At 59.5% G+C, this 16,740-nt stretch overlaps 1 protein-coding gene and 1 pseudogene across 3 annotated transcripts; one reads left to right on the top strand and one right to left on the bottom strand.

The window, feature by feature from the left end:
* On the top strand, positions 2,602-5,981 carry CA15P2 (CA15 pseudogene 2; annotated as a pseudogene).
* Positions 6,281-7,984, bottom strand: FAM246B (family with sequence similarity 246 member B). Of its 3 annotated transcripts, none has more exons than XR_007067956.1 (2): positions 7,207-7,984; positions 6,281-6,876 (listed from the first exon to the last, which is right to left on the bottom strand). XR_007067956.1 is itself a non-coding variant. In XM_047441115.1 (2 exons), the coding sequence occupies exon 1, from the start codon at positions 7,982-7,984 to the stop codon at positions 7,286-7,288; it is 699 nt and encodes a 232-aa protein (XP_047297071.1). In that variant the 3' UTR covers positions 6,281-6,876; positions 7,256-7,285. The 3 variants fall into 3 exon arrangements, 2 of the variants coding, with proteins under 2 accessions (XP_047297071.1, NP_001382955.1); XM_047441115.1 differs by having other exon boundaries at positions 7,256-7,984; NM_001396026.1 differs by lacking the exon at positions 6,281-6,876 and having other exon boundaries at positions 7,286-7,984.

Genomic DNA, 16,740 nt, shown 5'->3' with positions numbered 1-16,740 from the left:
TACGGAGCAAATATGTATCAGTGAACAATGTGCCACGTGCGCTATACACGGCCAAACACAGTGGCTCATACAGTTAACACAAGGTGTGGTCAATCACTGACAGAATGGGAATGAGGAATGTGTCCCACTCTCTCAGCTGTTGTATTATATCATACAAGGTGCAGTGACTACGTTCATTCATGAACCCAGCTCTCTTAAACACAGAAATTAAACACATATATGGGATACAGCACACAGTGTGATTTGTGTCTGCACCTCCCTCGTGCATGTTGTATATTTCATATAATGTAGGTACAAAATGTAACTTTGGTCTTCACCCGCATCAGCTATCATCTATCACAGGTTACATAGCGACATAATACAACTCAGTTCTGCATCCCCCTCTGCTATCATATGGTATCATGTGTGACAATGTGACCCGAGGTGAATAATGACTATCCCCTCTCACCTGCTGTATGGTGTCATAAGTGACATTTGTGACTCACATACACTGTGAATCAGGCCCACAACCCTTCTGTCAGTTGTTGCATGATACTGTATGTGCCATAGTGACATAATGCAACTGAGGTCTGGGCTCCTTGATGTCATATAATATCATAAGTGACATGGTGTGAACAAGGCTGCCTCCCCCTCTTGGGTTATCATTGGCTATCATATAGGACATAGTGATACAAAGTGACAAGTGTGTGTCCCCCTCAAGTGTTATATATCACATGTGACATAGAGTAAGGTGAGCCTGAGTCCTTCTCTTGGTTGTCCTAGATTATTTTATTTTATTTTTTTGAGATACAGTCTCACTCTGTCCCCAAGGCTGGAGTGCAGTGGTGTAATCTCAGCTCACTGCAACCTCTGCCTCCTGGGTTCAAGCAATTCTCCTGCCTCAGGCGCCTGAGCAGTGGGGACCACAGGCGTGCACCACCTCACCCAGCTAATTTTGTATTTTTAGTTACACAGTAACAAATGTGACTGAGGTCTACCTGCGCTCTCAGCTGATGCTGGCACCTTTATTGCCTAGGTGTTTAATGCTTCTCAGGTCTGCATCCTATCTCCCGTCACACACTCTCATATGCTATGTAGGATGAGGACACAGCTGACACACTTAGTCACTGCACCTTGTATGATATAATACAACAGCTGAGAGAGTGGGACACATTCTTCATTCCCATTCTGTCACTGTAACATAGCATATAGCAGCTGAGAACGGGGTACATCCCTGACTCACATGATGTCACAATGTCACATATGATATCATAAGTCATCCAGTGGGCTAGGCACGGTGGCTGACACCTATAATCCCCACACTTTGAGCCTGCCAAAGTGCCTTTTATGTGCCTTTCACATAAAGACTATGACACAGCTAAGCTATTCATGTACTAATAAATACCTGACCTGAGCTGTGTGACCACAGACACCACCCTATAATGTGGCCAGTGTGTAGGAACTCTGCAGGCTCAGATCATTCCAGACATACATGCAGATGTTGGAACTCCCTTGCACAGTGACTCATGATCCCAAGGCTGAGTGCTGAGGGCAGGTCAGTAGTTCAGAGCCTCAGCATTGGGGCCGTATGCTTGGGTTCCCATCTTGGCTCCCACACTTTGGGAGCCCGAGGTGGGTAGATCGCTTGAGCTCAAGCATTCAAGACCAGCCTGGGCAACATGGTGAAACCCTGTTTCTACTAAAAATACAAAAATTTGCCAGGCGTGGTGGTGTGTGTCTGCATTCCCAGCTACTCAGGAGGCTGAGGTGGGAGGATGGCTTGAGCTGAGGAAGCAGAGGCTGCAGTGAACTGCCCTGCTGAGAGTGGAGCTCCTGCTCAGCTCCTAGGAAGGCAAGAGCCAGCAAGGCCACTGCCCAGGCCCCCGAGGGTTCTAGGGGGTCCCATCCCTGGGAAGGTGGAATCTGGGAGGTGAGGGGGACCTAGGACCCCATTGTGTGCACAGCTTGGGCTAAGGCATGAGATAAGACCAGGGTGACAGTACAGGAGTATCCAAGAACTGACTTCACCTAACTTCTGCATTTGACTTCCCATCCCCAATGTGGGTAGGGCCCTGCCCTCTGGCGATTGGAAAGAGGCGCAGGGTGCAAAGAAGTCCCCTCCTCTGACCTCCTGCAGGGCTCCGTCTTGGCCTGGATCCGCAGGGGGGCCTGGGCAGGAGGGAGGCTGTGGTCTTGGGATGGGGTGGCAGTTCCAGGCCCACAGTGGGGCAAGAGACATCCTACACCTTCCTCCCATCCTTGCCCCGAAAGTCATGAGCGCTGGGGTTCAAGGTGCCCTCACTATTTGACCTTTCTTGCTGGTGGCTTTGGTGTGTCATTCTGGTCCCCAGCCTCTGTTTCCTGGACTGTAAGTGGGGATAATAATAGGTCACCCCTCCCCTGCAGGATTAACCTCAGCGATTGTTGCTGGCATCAGTGCAGCCCTGGGACCACAGCACACCTGGGTGAGTTTGGAGCGCTCGCGCTCTTCCTGGTGGCCCTGCCTGGGCACCGACCCCTCCCATCCTCTCCTCAATAGCCACGCCCCTAGCCCAGCTAGCTAATGAATAAATATGTAGTAGCCAGGCCAGCATCTTGGCTCCGAGGTCTAGCCACTTTCTAGTCCTTCCTAGCTGCGGCTGCCACTGAGCCACGCACGCCCCTGGCATCATGCTCGCCTTGCAGTGCAGCTGGTGTGGCGCAGACTCTGAGAGTGAGCACCAGGACTCTTCCCGTCTGGTCTCCAATCTACCCTCTTGCCATGCTCCACCACCCCTTAGGTCTTGCCACTGGGAGTGGGGAGGGACTGGGGAGAGAAAATACTGGGGTAGGGGTGACAGGAGAGAAGGTTCTTCACTGGCCTCCCCTGGCCTAAGCCCCTGGCCTACTTCATTCTTGGACCCCAGCTGATGGGATGGGGCTTGGAGAGGACCCAGATGACTGGTCTCTCAGCTCAGCCTCCTGCCCACTGTCTCTATAGGTGCCTGGTGCTACGACTCCCAGGACCCCAAGTGTGGTGAGGACAGAGTGTCATGTGAGGCTGAGTGAGATCAGTCTGTGTCCTGGGACCACCAGAGCATGTGCCAGTGGTGCAAGAGTGGCCAAGAGACAGTCTGCACCCTGCACTCTGTGGCCTTTGCAGGTTTCTGTCTGTAGTCGTCTGCCCCAGTAGACTGACTGGGCATCAGGTGCAAGTGCGTGACTGTCCCCCTGTGTGTGAGTCTGGGCCTGCTGTGATCGCCGGTCCCGAGTCAGTCAAGGCTGGTGTGCCTGTTACTGTGGCCAGCCCAAGTGTGTGCAGGTGATAGAGGTCCCAGTGTGGGTGTGCAACTGTGTGCCAGAGACTCTTTTGCCTTCATCTCACCATGGGGCAGCCAACCGGGAGACTAGATGGATAGGCCAGATGCAGGGTACAAGAGAAGGGGGATGCTGTGACCTGTTCAGGTGTGGGGGAAGCAGGGAGCTGGGTTTCCTGAGGCTGGGCTATCCTCTGGGTGTATGGGGGCCACTCTCTGCTGCACCCCCAGGCTGCCTCCCTGACCCCACCCCCACCCCAAAGGCCCCAGTCCTTGTTCCAGCAGTCCCCACCCACTGGAAGAAGCTGGCCCCTGCCTGTGGGGGCCCAGGCCAGTCCCTCATCGACATTGACTTTCACAGGGTCCGGCGGAACTCTACCCTAGGGCCCTTCATCTTCCGAGGCTATGACTCAGCACCTCCAGGCCCTTGGACCCTGGAGAATGACAGCCACACAGGTCAGCACCCTGTGGTCAGGACCCCTCCTAGGCAGGAGCAGGAGCCCCACACAGGGCATGAGAGCTCCTGAGTGTACACAGGGACCAGGACCCCCTACACACGGGAGCTGAGACATCCTACAGGGCCAAAAACCCTCCACAGGGGCTAGCTTCACAGGAAAGGAGCATCCTCACACAGCAGTCCAGATGCGCCCTCTGTGTAGGTGCCAGGTCCCACCCTACAAATCACAACCAGCCATGGCCCCTGAGGACCAGGAGTCAGGGTCTCTGGCAGGGCCAGGATCCCTGACCACACACAGCTGGGCTCAGAGCCCCACCCCAGGAGGGCTGCCCTCTGCCTTCTTCCATGCCATGCTGGGTGTGTGGGGGAGGGTTTCCCCTGCAGTCTGTGGAACTCTGCTCTGCTGACCAGCAGGAGCCATGGACACCATGGGTTCCATTCCATGGAGGCAATGGGGCCCCACTGGGGAGCAGCCTGGCCTGAGGAAGGGCCTCTGCTCGTACCCTGTGCTCTAATGGCACAAGGTGGGCAGGTGGTGAGGTAGAGAGGGTGTCGTGTGCCTCCTCCCCTTCATTGCTACTCTGAATGGACACTGATCCTCAGAACCACCTGGAGATTTGGGAGGCTGGGCTGCTGTTGCCTGTCTACCGCGCACTGCGGCTGCACATCAGCTGGGGGCGGGGGGGGGGCCCGAGGCGAGCAGACTCAGAGCACAGCCTGGACAGGCAGCGCCAGGCTATGGAGGTAGACTTGGGCACAAGGTGGGGTGGCCGGAGTGCTCCCACGGAGATGAGAGAGAGCAAGGTGGGGGCAGCTGGGTATCTCCCACATCTGTGCCTACCCCCAGATGCATGTGGTCCACAGTAACACAAAGTACCAGAGCATGGAGGAGGCACCACGCCACGGTGATGGGCTCGAGTGCAGGCCCTGCTGCTGGAGGTGCTGCTGGCGGTGAAGGCAGGGCTGTGATTCTATGTATGTTTCCAAAAAAGGGGTCCATGGGGATCCTGGAAGTGGACAGGCTAGGCCTGTGGAGTCCATGGGGGGATCTCTAGGGTCTATAGGATCTGTGGGAGGATAGGGCGGTGGGAATGCCTGAATCGGCAGGGCCAGTGGCGGCGAGAACCCTCCACCCCATTTCCCAGATGCCAGATGCCTCCTGCCACTGGGAGCCTCCTGCTTAGAGTATCCCAGCTGAGTTCCCTCTTCAGAGACTCCCCCACTCAGAACCCCTTGCACTTGGAGCCCCTCCCAGGAGCAGGACTGTAGCAACACCAACTTCTGCGCCATAGTGTCGGGCTTGAGGAAGGTGCCTGAGCCAGGTGAGGAGCCACCGGGTCGTTTTCCGGCTCAGGGGCGGGGGGTTTGCTGGGGATGGCACCAGCAGGGCACGGGGAGGCTGGTTCCAATCCCCCTCCCTCTGCCGCCTGGGGCTCTCAGTGAATCTGATGTCCACCTTCCTGCTGGCGTCGATGCGGCCCAACACCTCGAGCTACTGTCGCTTCGCTGGGTCACTGACCCCGCCTGACTGCGAGCCCACGGTGCTCTGGACCGTCTTCGAGGACCCCATACCCATCCGGTGGGTGCAGGTGGAGCCACCGTCCCCCCTCGCCCCCCACACCCCTCCCCGGGCCTTGCCTGGCTCCTCCCGCAGGCGCTGCCCCTCTCCCACCCCGTTTTGATCTCTTTGCCCTGCACCCTCAGATGACCCTGTTCCACACCGTGCCCCAGGCTGGACCCTCCCACTTTCACCCCATACCGCTCACGGGTAACTTCCGCCCACAGCAGCCTCTTTTTTTTTTTGAGACGGGGTCTTGCTGTGTCGCCCAGGCTGGAGTGCAGTGGTGGAATCAGCTCACTGCAAGCTCCGCCTCCCGGGTTCATGCCATTCTCCTGCCTCAGCCTCCTGAGTAGCTGGGACTACAGGTGCCCGCCATCACGCCCGGCTAATTTTTTGTATTTTTAGTAGAAACGGGGTTTCACCGTGTTAGCCAGGATGGTCTCGATCTCCTGACCTCGTGATCCGCCCGCCTCGGCCTCCCAAAGTGCTGGGATTACAGGCGTGAGCCACCGCGCCTGGCCCACAGCAGCCTCTTAAGGGGCACACAGTCTTGGCCTCCCCCAGAGCCTCGGTCCCCGCAGCAGCCCCCCGCTCTTCCCCCACCCTAGCAGGTGTGCACTGCGCTCTGATGCGCCTGGGGCTCAGCTTGTGGTTCTGTCAACCGTGGGCGACCCTCCGTGTGAAATAATGAAATAATGCACAGAGTGACCTTAGCCTAATGTGGCCTGGAGGGGGTGGGTGCGTGACCCGGCGCGGTCCCCCACTGCAAGAGGGGCATTTCCTGCCCTAATCCCACTGAGGCCTCAGTGTGCCTGTCTGTTCCGTGGGAGCCCTCTGAGTGACCCTCTCCTACCTCAGCAGAACCCGGGCCTCTCCAGGTTCCTCTCAGAGGGAGAAGGGCCCCCACCCTCATCCTATACATTGTGTCTGAATCCCCTGGTCAGATGGAAGGAGAACATCTAGCAGTCAGAAATTCCACCATTAGGCCAAGATTACATTATTTTATTTTAAAACTAAGCTGGGTGGCCAACCCAGGGACACCGTGCTCTGCTAAATGATGACTCCAGCTACATTTCCCGAGGCCAAGAGATGAGAAGCTGCTGGCTCCAGGCTCCGCTGCAGGCTGCCCTGGCTGAGCGGGTGCTGGGCACCGCGGAGCGCTGCCTGGTGCTCTGAAGCCATGCCCCAGTGCCTCCCTGGGAGTTCTGCTGTGGAGTCTGTGTGGAGGGTGACTCTGGAGAGATGTTTGTGTCCCGGTGGCTGCCTGTGGTCTGGCTAAGTAAAGGGGTGAGTATTCTTGGTGTCACTGTCCAAAGCAAAGTTGTGTCCACGGGACACAGACTAGGTGAGGCTCTGTGTCCAGGTGATGCTGTCCAGTGAGAGGGGGTTGCAGTCAGAGTGAGGCTGACCGGAGGCCGCTGTCCAATTGGTGCCGTGTGGAATGTGATTACATACTGGTTGACACCGTCCTGAGGGCCATCACCAGCTGCGTGTCTCAGCCGCCCTGTGTCCCTGGGTTCTGTGCCCTTGTGTGTGGTTTGACACTATTCCAGTGCGTGGAGACCCTGCCTCGTCACTGAGACCTTGAAAGAAAAAGAACGTGCAGTCACCCCAAGGAAGAGGAGTCTCGGCTGTTCCCCTGGAGGCTGACCCAGCCCTGGCCCAAAGGCTGACCCAGACCCAAGGCCCAAAGGCCCAGCTCTAAGGTCCAAAGGGGCTCCACCCTGTTCTCTAGCCGGACTCAGTCTCTCGCAAGGACCCCGGCTCCCATCCGCACTCCCCAGACGCACGTGGCCCACCCTCCGCCCGTCCCGCGCCCACCCCCTCCCTCCAGTACCGGAGCCCTAACTGGCGGCACCCGGGCACCCTTCTGACTCAGAGCCACGCTACACGAGGGGGACCGATCTGCTCACTTGCCCCGTCCTGGGGGTACCAGAGTAGCCAGCGCGACGCCTTCCGCACCTCGCCTAGGCTGCCCTTGTGCGGCCGCCCTCAGTCCCCGCCACCTTGCGGGGCCCCAGGCGGCACTGGCATCTTCTTGTGGTTCTTCCTGGCCGGGGCTCGGTGCGCTCCGCATTCTGCTGGGCCGTCCGGGGCGTCGTCTGCGGGCCTGGAGGCGGCGACCAGGGCGCTCACGGTGCCGAGCGTCCGCAGCAGGGTCGGGCCGCGGGGCGCGGCGCGGGGGACGGCGCGGGGCTCGCGGCGGGCAGGCGGGGACGGCGGCGGCGGCGGCAGCAGCGCGCGCAGAGCGTCCAGCTCCGCTCGAAGCTCCGCGCGCAGCGCCTCAATCTCGGCGCCCAGCTCCTCGCGCACTGCCGCGAGTCCCTCCTGCAGCCGCCGCTCGCTGACCTCCAGGACCCCCGCCGGGTAGGTGGCCCTGCCGCGGGGCTCCCCGCATACTGAGCACACGGAGCCGCGGCTGTGCGCGCCGGTCCTCTCGCCCGCGCCCGCCGCCCCGGCCCCCGCACGCTCCACCAGCTTCAGCAGCCGCGGCACCTCGGACCGCGAAGCCGCTTCGGCCCGGAGCTGGCGGAGCAGGCGAGCCAGCCGGCCCGGGGCTCGGGCGTCTTCCCGGCCCGGCCCATTGGATTGCGGCCCCGGGTCCCGCCGGCGGCCCGTGACGCGCCGCAGCACCTCGCTGGCTCTGTACGCACTACGCGCCTGGGCCCACGGGCGGCCGGGCGTCGCCATCCGCCCTGCTGCCTCCACCGCCGCCAGCGCCCGGGATGGCCGGGAGCCCCAGGCTGCAGCCTAGCCATCGCTGGGGCCCAGGCGACGCACCGTGGAGGGGGCCCGCGGGACGGCTTTGGGAACGACCAAAGCCCTGGGGGTTCCGGCCTGGGCCGCAGGGAACCCTGGCAGGGCTGGGTCCCGGGCAGCCCGGTTCCCCGGGGACCCTGCGGGAACAACGACGTTGTGGGCAGGTCCTCACAAAGGGCATGGCCCAGTTTCTGGGCATAGGTGACATGGAGCATCGCCAGCCAAAGACCAGGCACCACCCGCTAGACACGAGTCAGGAACTGAGCTCACATTTTACACTAGAAGCTACTGTCTCCATCATAGTCAAGGGAAGGCCAGGAGTGGTCATGGACCCCACAGCCCTTTTCAATGGCTCAGGGCGACGTCCTTCCATGTAGTCCAGGCCATTATCTCCTCACCCTGTCCCCTAGTCCACACAGCTGGAGGAATCCATCCAGGTGGCATCTCCAGCCCCAAGCTGCTGGTCCTTCCATGCGAGCTCTTCAGGGTCTCCCTTACTCTCCAAGGTGGCCCGCCTAGGGCCTCTGGAAATCCCTGGCCATCTCAAGCTGGGTTTTTTGTTTTGTTTTGTTTTTATAAACAGGATCTTGCTGTGTTGCCCAGGCTGGAGTGCAGTGGTGCAATCATAGCTCACTGCAGCCTCCATCTCCTGGGCTCAAGCGATCCTCCCACCTCAGTCTGCTGAGTAGATGGGACTACAAGCGTGCACCACCATGCCCGGCTTTTTTTATTTTTATTTTTATTTATTTTATTTTATTTATTTATTTATTTTGTAGTGATAGGGTCTCACTGTGTTTCCCAGGTTGGTCTTGAACTCCTGGCCTCAAGTGATCCTCCTGTCTTGGCCTCCCAAAGTGCTGGGATTACAGGCATGAGCCACCATGTCCAAGCCTGTCTGTGTCTTTAACCTCCTCTAATCCAACAGTCTTCTTCATCCTTCTGGGTCTTTGCACAGTTCCTCTCCCCCCAACCCCTGCCATTTTCCTGGTGGCTCTCACTTTTCCCACTTAGATAGGGAAATGTTCCATGACCACCCCATCCCACACTGGGGACCTCGAGCCCCTCCTCCACAGCACCCTTCACAGTTGTATTTAAATGACTCTGTTTTCCATCCACCCACTGTGGGGTCTCTGAGCCCAGGGCTGGGTCATTTCTCCTGGGCCGAGTGTGGCACTAAGCATGCTGAGTGCTAGCCTGCACAGAGGCCAGGCCCGGGTGGGCCCCAGGACACAGCTGTCAGTGGCTGTCTTGCCATGGAGTGAGTGGATGAATCAGCAGGGCTGGGATCCTCTCCCATTTTACAGTAGGAGGCTGGGGAGAGGAGCTGGCCAGCCCCTCCACCTCTGCAGCCTGGCATCTGAGGCCCTCATGGCATCCCTGCTGGTCTGCCTTCCCCTGCAGCCCTTCCACCCTCTGTGGAGCCCTCACTACTGCACCCTACTCCTTCTCACCCCAGTGCCTCTGCATAAGCAGTGCTGCCTGTGGCCGCCACAGGGCCCTAGGTATGGGCAGAGTAGTATCCCCCACACAGCATGCTGTTCTCCCTGTACCCCCAGGGGCTAGTTAGCACTCTGGGTGCCCTGGACCCTGGGGCCTCCCTCAGCAAATTGTGGAGGGTGGCCTGGCATGAATCCAGGCAGGTCTGGGAAGGGACATGGCAAGACAGCCCCTGGAAGCTGTGTCCCCGGGTCCACTGGGGTCTGGCCCCTGCAGATCAGTGCATGTGTGCATGTGTTGGGGGGGGGATTGAGGGGACCGCTAATACTGTCCTCAAGCAGCTGCTGAGGAGAAGACTGGGTCCCTCTAGTCATGTTCATCCACTCAATCACTCCCTGCAGCTCGTCTCCCTGGAAGGTGCAGGAGGAGGTGAGAATTGGGCACTCTGTCAACCCCTCAGACTCCCCCATTCCTGCTGAGTCACCCGTCCTCTGGGACCTCCAGCAGCTGGCTCTGCTGATCCCTAGAGCCTCATTAGCCATTCTCTCCCTCCCCCCAGTCATTAAAACACTGCCAACAAGAGCGCCCTGGGTTCTTTTCCCCAGCCCTACTGGAGACGGGCTGTGTGACCCAGGGGCTCTGCCCTCTCTGAGCCAAGTCTTCACCTGTGAAATGAAGAGATCTCTGAGGTCCCCAGGAGGAGTGACAGGGAGGCCTGGATGGTGGCGAAGGTGCAGGAGAGAGTCCAGATTTGCAGAAAGAGCTGTTAGTTTTGTGATCTCTGCCTGGAGGTCTATGGACAGGCTGGAAGAGAACCTGAGCCATTGCAATGAGTCCAGATTAGGGCTTGTTCCTGCAGAGGCTACAGATGTGGGGGCTGGTACTTATGGCAGAGGGTCCCAAAGTCATGGGCATAGAGAAGACAGGTTGGCAGGAGCAAGGGCAGAATGGGAGCGGGGTCCTGGGGACCCTGTTGGGCCCTGAGGAGGACTGCAGAGGTGTCGGTGAGGGGTGGACAGGCAGGCGTGTCAGCACAACCCTGAGCCCCTGAGCTCAAGTGCAGGGATGGCCGTGAAGCAGGTGATGGGGACCCTGGCTTGAGCTTCATCGGTAGCGGGGCTGGGGTGGACACCGGGGACTGGCGGAGAGGAGATGGGGTGGGGGCTGGTCAAAGCAGTGTGTCCCTCAGGGAACGTGGCAGAGCGGGGCGCGCACACAGGTCTGCTCTCCAGTTCCTCCGGGAAGTTCCTCAAATTCAGCCAGCTCCAGCTGCCCCTGGCACAGAGGAGCTGACTGAGGCTCCAGTGCAGGGCCTGCTCCTTCCCCTCCTGTTCCCCTCAGTGTGCCCTGGGCCGGGGGCCAGGCATGGTGGGGGTGGGGAGGCTGGCTGTGCCTGTGGGAAGCCACCGGCTCCCGGGGCTGTCCCTGGGCCCAGGCTGTAGCTCTGTGCATGCAGACGTGCAGGCTGGGTGGGCAACTGGCCACCTTGCCCGTCAGTAATGCATTCACAGTGGGGGGTCAGAGGAAACCCCAGGGCTCCTCTGCTTAGCTTGGCCAGGGGTCCCGATGGGGCAGTCTCTCCGTGTGACTTAATTGTCATCCCTTTTGTGCTCTATGGCTATTAAATAAAACTTGGCAGCCACCTTGGCTGGAGGTTTTATGTCCCAGAGCCCAAGGGCGGTTGGGAGCCAGGGGAGCGCTCAGACGGCAGGGCCAGGCGAGCTCTGTGTGTGGGAGGGGCTGTGGGGGCCTCTGAGAGCTGCTGCAGGGACCCGGCAGGGCGGGGGTGGAGGCAGAGAGTGTGACTGTAGCTTCACAGTCATCAGAGTGGACGTGGAGATGCAGGCAGAGTCCTCGAAGCTGGCTCAGGGGTCTGTGTGGGGAGGGGGCACACCCAGCAGGGGCCTGAGGGTAAGCAAGGGAGGCAGCAGGGTCTTGGAGCTGCCTCCCAAAGGTGGTGGGGAGCCCCAGGAAGAGCAAGGAACAGGAGCAGCCGGCAGGTGCGGCTGATCCACCCTGAGGTCCCGGACACACTGGTGGGGACAGGAAGGCTCATCTTGGAGCTGCTCCTGGAGGGGCCATGTGGGTCACGGCCCCTGGCCCTCTGCTCAGACCACAGAGCACAGGACACTTGTCCAGCCTTTGCTGCGACTGTGCTGCTTGCTCTGGGAGCAGCTGCTGCTGGGCCTTTGGAGGAGGAGGAAGGGTGGCCTGGCTGGGACCCAGCCCCTGTGCCCAGCCTCTTAGAAGGGGAGGTGATGGTCCTTTTAGGCCCCAGGAGTGCAGGCTGCATAGTGGGGCCTCTGTACACATAAGCTGGCAGGTCTGGCTTGGGCTTTGCTCAGGACACTGGGTACTGGGTTCTGGGTTCAGAGGCCTCATGAAAACACCTAGCCTCAGTTTCCTCATCTGTCAGGACCAGCGGCTGGCTGGGAGGGTGTGTGTTAGCATGGCAGCGGCCAGCTTAGTCTACTCTAGGAGACCTTGCCTCCCCGACCCCTGAGCTGACCTCTTCTTTGAGAGCTTAGAGAGGAGAATGACTTGTTCCAGGTCTTACTGCAGGGTCTGGGGCTTCCTGTGGGGACTCAGGTGCACCTTGTCCCTGAATACCCCTGCCTTGCCCACTAGGCCCTGGAACTGTGCCCCGGCCTCCTGTGGCACTGGCTAGCCAGATCTCTGGGAACCGTCCCAGGGCAGGTGGCTCTGCAGGAGGCCAAATGATTACCCAGCAATGGCCTTGCCTGATGTGGGTAACGAGCTCATTACCTGGTGATGACCTTGTTTGTCTGTTCCTGGCATCAACAGCCTCAGCTCTCCCTGCAAGGAATGTCTAGCCTGGGGTGGGTCTGACCAGTCTGTGCCACAGGCACCAGCATCCCAGTCTGCACTGCATGGGGTGTCGGGCCTGACAGCATCTACCTATATGTGCCCTGAGGGCCCAGACTCAGCCCCCAGTGGGAAGACTCCAGGCTCCTGACGGACCCCTCCCAGTTGTACAACCTGAGCAGGTAAGCCCTGACCCACTCTGGGCCTCACTCTCACCAAGCTGGTGACAAAGATTCTCTGCTTGGTCAAGCTTTATTTAGGCTCCTGAGCCTTCTCCTAGGCACATCTGAGCACTTCCTTATAAACTCTAGTTTTAGCAAGAATTCTGCAAAGTCAGTTTAGCGAGAAGCCCCCCGTCCTTGACATCTGATCGGGTTCCCCCTCTGTCCCCCAGGTGCGGTCTGGCCATCCTGGCCGGCCTTCAGCAAGAATTCTGTTAGGGGAGTTAAGCCAGAATCCCTGGCTGCTGATGCTTCCTCTTAGTCACTTTCCATGCACTGCCCCCCACCCTGCTCCTTGACTGTCCGATCCCACTTGCCCATGCTGTCTTCGAGGCTGAGCCCAGTCTCTTACCCACTGCAGAATCTCATCGCCATGGTCCCTTATGCCTAGTGACACGGTCCTGGATAGTCTTCCCCCTGCTCCTTGACGGTCCGATCCCACTTGCCCATGCTGTCTTCGAGGCTGAGCCCAGTCTCTTACCCACTGCAGAATCTCATCGCCGTGGTCCCTTATGCCTAGTGACACGGTCCTGGACAGTCTTCCCTACGGCGCTTTGGCAAGTGTCATTTTTCTTTTTTTCTTTTCTTTTTTTTTTTTTTTTTTTGAGACGGAGTCTCACTCTGTCACCAGGCTGGAATGCAGTGGTGCCATCTCGGCTCACTGCAACCTCCGACTCCCTGGTTCAAGCGATTCTCCCGTCTCAGCCTCCCGAGTAGCTGGGATTATAGGCACCTACCACCATGCCCAGCTAGTGTCAATTTTCACTGAATTATTTTTTTAACAGTGGGGACTAAAGAGGGTCCGCAAGCAGGGCTGCTGCTGGGCACCATGGAGGGCCGCCTGGCGGGACATGCCCCAACCTACAGGGGTCCTTGAGGGCTCCCCTTCCCCTGCCAGCTGGGCTGGGGTCTCTGTGTCAGGAGTGTCCTCACCACCACCTGGGGATGGACCTCCACTGTCATCCTAGGGAAGGGGCCAGGGAGGGGAGTCTACATGCTGAGCGGGCCTGTCCGAGGCCTCTGCTATCCCAATGCAGCCCCCAGTATTTAGACCTGCCCCCAGTGACCTGCTCCCTCTTGCCCATCATTCCAGGAACTTCCTGCTCCACGCCTGCGCACATCCTGTCCCTAGGCCGGCTCCCCCTGCTCAGCCTCAGGACGCAGCCACCCACCCTCCCAGGAGCGCCTTCCCTGCCCCTGTGGCTTCCTGCTGGCACTCTCTGCACTGGGTTCTTCCTCCTGGTGTGTGGGGCCCTAGTCTCTGTCTCCTGTCGGGTTTGACTTCTACCAGAGCAGGGACCTCCCTGAGTCCTCATGGCCCAGAAAAGTGCCCAGCATGCAGTAGGCGCATCATAAATACCTGTCTACTATCATGTGGTGAACTGAGTGAAGACATCTCATTAAAGATGACATTAAAGAATAGGGCATAGGGCTTGGCATTCAGTAGGCACACAGTACATGATGGCTTTGTTATTTCCAGTCTGGGGTTGTGTTCATGCCTCAGTTTCCCACCTGGCCTGATAGGAGGGGCTCAGCTGCTGGGCTGGCTGTGTCTCTGTGCCCCTTGCCTGGAAATGCCTGACGAGGGGCAGGGTCCTCATCCCAGCCACATCCCAGGGGTTCCCAGCCCTCTGACCTTGAGGAGCTGTGGGAGGCGAAGGCTGCAGCCACCCTGTAGCACTGCAAACACAGGCTGGGGCGGGAAGGGGGGTACAGAGGGTGTGCACAAGGGGCAGGGGGAGGGAGAGGGCGGGCACAAGGGGCAGGGGGCAGGGACATGTCCCCACGCCCAGCTAATTTTTGTATTTTTAGTAGAGACGGAGTTTCACCATGTTAGCCAGGCTGGTCTTGAACTCCTGACCTCAAGTGATCCGCCCACCTAGGCCTCCCGAAGTGCTGGGATTACAGGCCTGAGCCACCGTGCCTGACCAAAAATGATTAAGTATTTTAAGGCAGCCACCACAGAGCATTAAACAAGCCCCTAGAGCTGGCCCCGCCCCCGAAGGCTCCAGGCCCATCTGTCTTGGGGATGCACAGGTTCCAGGGACCCAAACCCACCCTTCACAACTCTCTTCCCCTCCCAGCACCACAGGGGCCCTCCTGGCCCCTGGGACCTCCCATGGAGCAGGCTCTCTGTCCAGGATGGAGATGGGGACCCTCCTCACTGCCCTGTGCCCCTCATGGGCTGGACACACCCACCACCCAAGAAGAAAGGCCTAAAGGGCTGGGCACTGCCCTTTTGGAACCAGAGGCTTGGCGGCCCCATATGGGTCTGGCTGAACCCACCTTTGGGGGGCTGAGATGAGCCAGCCTCAGTTACTCAGCTGACGGCAGGGCCTGTGGTATGGAGCTTCCCAGACTGCACACCTAGCCCCTACCGGACTTCCATCGTCTCCAGACACGCACAGCAAGGGTTCCCAGGCCAGAAACAGGAAGCAGCAGCTCTCCCTCCTCCAGTTCCTGGGAACTGTCTCAGACGAACCACCCGGAGCCTCACCTACAGGAGGATGGACACCTGCACCCAGTGCTGTAGGGAGCAACCTCAGCCCTGGGCCTGGGATGAATGCCCTCGCCAGCCTGGGGCCAGGAGACAGGCTCTCCGTGGCTCAGCGCCTGAGCATCCACTTACAGGACACTCACCTGCAGAGGTACCCTGAGCACCGTTGTGGGTTAAGGGACTTTCTCCCCTCTGGAAACAGTCCTGAGAAGCTGAAGGTCTTGGGGGCCTCTCACCAAATGTCTTTGGGAGGTGGGAAGACATCAAATGCGGGTGTGGCTTCCCTGGAACAGCTCTGTGTGGGGACTCAGGAGCCAAGTCCCCCAGCACATGCCTCTAACACTTTCAGTAGGGGCCCACCTCTCTGGAGCCATGGGTGGCTGCCAACACCCTGTGGTTCCCAGCAGGCACCACCCAGGCAAGAGAGAGAACAGGCTGGGGAACAATGGGCTGGCCTGGCCGCAAGCGCTGGGGCAGATCACAGACCAGATGGCCTAAGCTCATGCCCTGGGGCCAGCTCTGACTCCCTGCAAGTGTGGCAAGGGTCCCTTTTGGACACCTTGAGAAGCTGCAGCTGGGAGAGGACCACCCGCCTGTCTGGACGTCCAGCCCAGGTGGCAGGGCCCAAGTGACCAGTCCCAGGCCACAGCCCTTACCACCCGCCCTGGCTGCAGGGGCTCCCAGAAGCCACCAAGGGCCTGGCTCGGCCTTGCCTGTCCGCATCTGAGCTTCAGTTTCCTCATCTGCTCAAGAAGGGAGGTGAACACTGATTAAATTATGCAAACTCTGAGCGGCAGGATTAGGTGTGGCTGGGACAGCCAAGGCTTCCCTGGGTGGTGGCATCTCTGGAGCCCGGGGATGGGACCTGTCTCCCTTCAGGGCCCCCAGCTGGGCACGCACCTGCCCCAGTCCCTCCCTGCAACTCTTCCTCCATGCCAGTCCCTGGAAATGTGGCCCTGCCGTGGGTGTCATGGCCCATAGGAGATGCTTTGGGCCCAGCACCCACAGCCCCTCGCAGTGTGCACCCCCACTTCCCTTTCCCCACTGCTGGGACACCTGCTTGAAATGTCCCTCCTCCCCCCAGAAAGGAGGGGAGCAGCCCTGGCCTTCTGCCCTGAGGGCGGAGCTCTCTTTGGGGTCTCAATTGCAGCCCCTGGGAGAGTGAGAAGGGTCAAGTTCAGACCCTGCACCATTCCCTACCAGGCCTCGAATGGGACTCTTGGCAGCTGTATCCCCCACCCCAGTCCAGGCAAGCAAAAGGGGTTCTTCTGCAGTCTTCAGGGCCCCCAGAAGGCGCACTGTTCACAGACACCCTGGGGAGCCAAGAGAGGTCGAGGGCTCCAGCTACCGTGGCCCTCTGAGGACCCCCGCCTGTGGGATAGAGGACTTGGTGGCTGAAGGGCAGTCATGCCCAGGGGGCTTCTCCTGACCCTGCAGGGCTGAGCGGGTGCAGCCTTTTGCCTCTTCTCGCTGCATTCTAGCCCATCAGTCAGGGCAACAGCCAGATGGTCTATGCTAAGATTCATCCCATCCCCACGGGCCCTGTGACTTTCTACCATATCAACGTGGTGGCCTGTGCAGTTCCCGGCCAGCATTTTCCTGGGGATGCTGCTGTCTAATGGGCTGTGGGAGAAACAGAGACAGGCCCTGCACATGGGGCAGCCAGTCCAGCACCCGCCAGGCCAGGCCCTCAGCATCCTCTCCTC

This window comes from Homo sapiens, chromosome 22 (assembly GCF_000001405.40).
Source record: "Homo sapiens chromosome 22, GRCh38.p14 Primary Assembly".
NCBI lineage: Eukaryota > Metazoa > Chordata > Mammalia > Primates > Hominidae > Homo > Homo sapiens.
The sequence above is the reverse complement of the archived record's forward strand: the minus strand, read 5'-3'. Positions and strand labels throughout refer to the sequence as shown.

Coding starts and splice junctions, on each gene's coding strand:
- FAM246B (XM_047441115.1), bottom strand. CDS start 7,984: ATGGCGACGCCCGGCCGCCCGTGGGCCCAGGCGCGTAGTGCGTACAGA.